This window comes from Homo sapiens, chromosome 2, assembly GCF_000001405.40.
Source record: "Homo sapiens chromosome 2, GRCh38.p14 Primary Assembly".
In the NCBI taxonomy this organism is placed as follows: domain Eukaryota; kingdom Metazoa; phylum Chordata; class Mammalia; order Primates; family Hominidae; genus Homo; species Homo sapiens.
This window is the reverse complement of record NC_000002.12, coordinates 226300427-226301216: the sequence shown is the minus strand read 5'-3', so window position 1 is coordinate 226301216 and position 790 is coordinate 226300427. Positions and strand designations below refer to the sequence as shown.

Genomic DNA, 790 nt, shown 5'->3' with positions numbered 1-790 from the left:
CCTGCAATTACCTGATTAGCAATCCCAATTGCTTCTCCATATTTCGAAGACCTTGATTAAATGATATCCCCTCCTGATTACTTTATAAAGTCTAGCTACCATGGATTATTGACAGCTCTGTGTTAACTAACTGCCTGTTTCTTTGGCAAGCTGCCAGGCAAATGGGAAAGCCACTGTTTCTTGAGATGGGGAGAAGAGAAATGCCAATGGATACAGTCTTTATGGCTTTTGCAAACTGAGAGGCTATTAGCTGAACTGAAATTGTTCTGGTGGTAGTTAGTGTGTTTGACATCACTTTGGATTACTAAAGAGTGATAACTAAATGGTGGAGGTGGTTGATAACCTGATGCAAAACCCCATCACCTTACAGTTTATAGAAAGCAGGTGTACTGTGGGTTGTTGTGAAGGTTTGCTAGATAAAGGAAATGAATGCTTCAGCCAATTTTTCAGAATTCTAACTACACAGGTTGTCCAAAGCCACAATGCTCACACTCGACTTTTGCTTAACTTCCTTGTTGAAACTGAAATCATGTGTAAAGGCTGCTGAACATGCTGATTTTCACTGAACAGCTCTATACGGTAGGAATGGTAATCTCTTTTCTATCCCTTACTCATAAACTCAGAAAGGTTTTGACACGTGTGCAAAGGTGACTTAAACATATTCATAATCATTCTTCTACCATTGTCATTAAATGTATATTATTTAATTTTTAGCTTTGTTATTTCCTTTCAAATATGAAGTCTCATTTAATTTACTGCCTTTTTTTCCCCTCCATCAAAGGTCCTTCAA

At 37.7% G+C, this 790-nt stretch overlaps 1 annotated feature.

The window, feature by feature from the left end:
• Nucleotides 444–573: an enhancer, noted in NCBI's record as "active region_17192". NCBI's record gives its function as "activates an Ori minimal core promoter by ATAC-STARR-seq in GM12878 lymphoblastoid cells {active_cell/tissue: GM12878}" and the evidence as "EXISTENCE:reporter gene assay evidence [ECO:0000049][PMID:35858748]".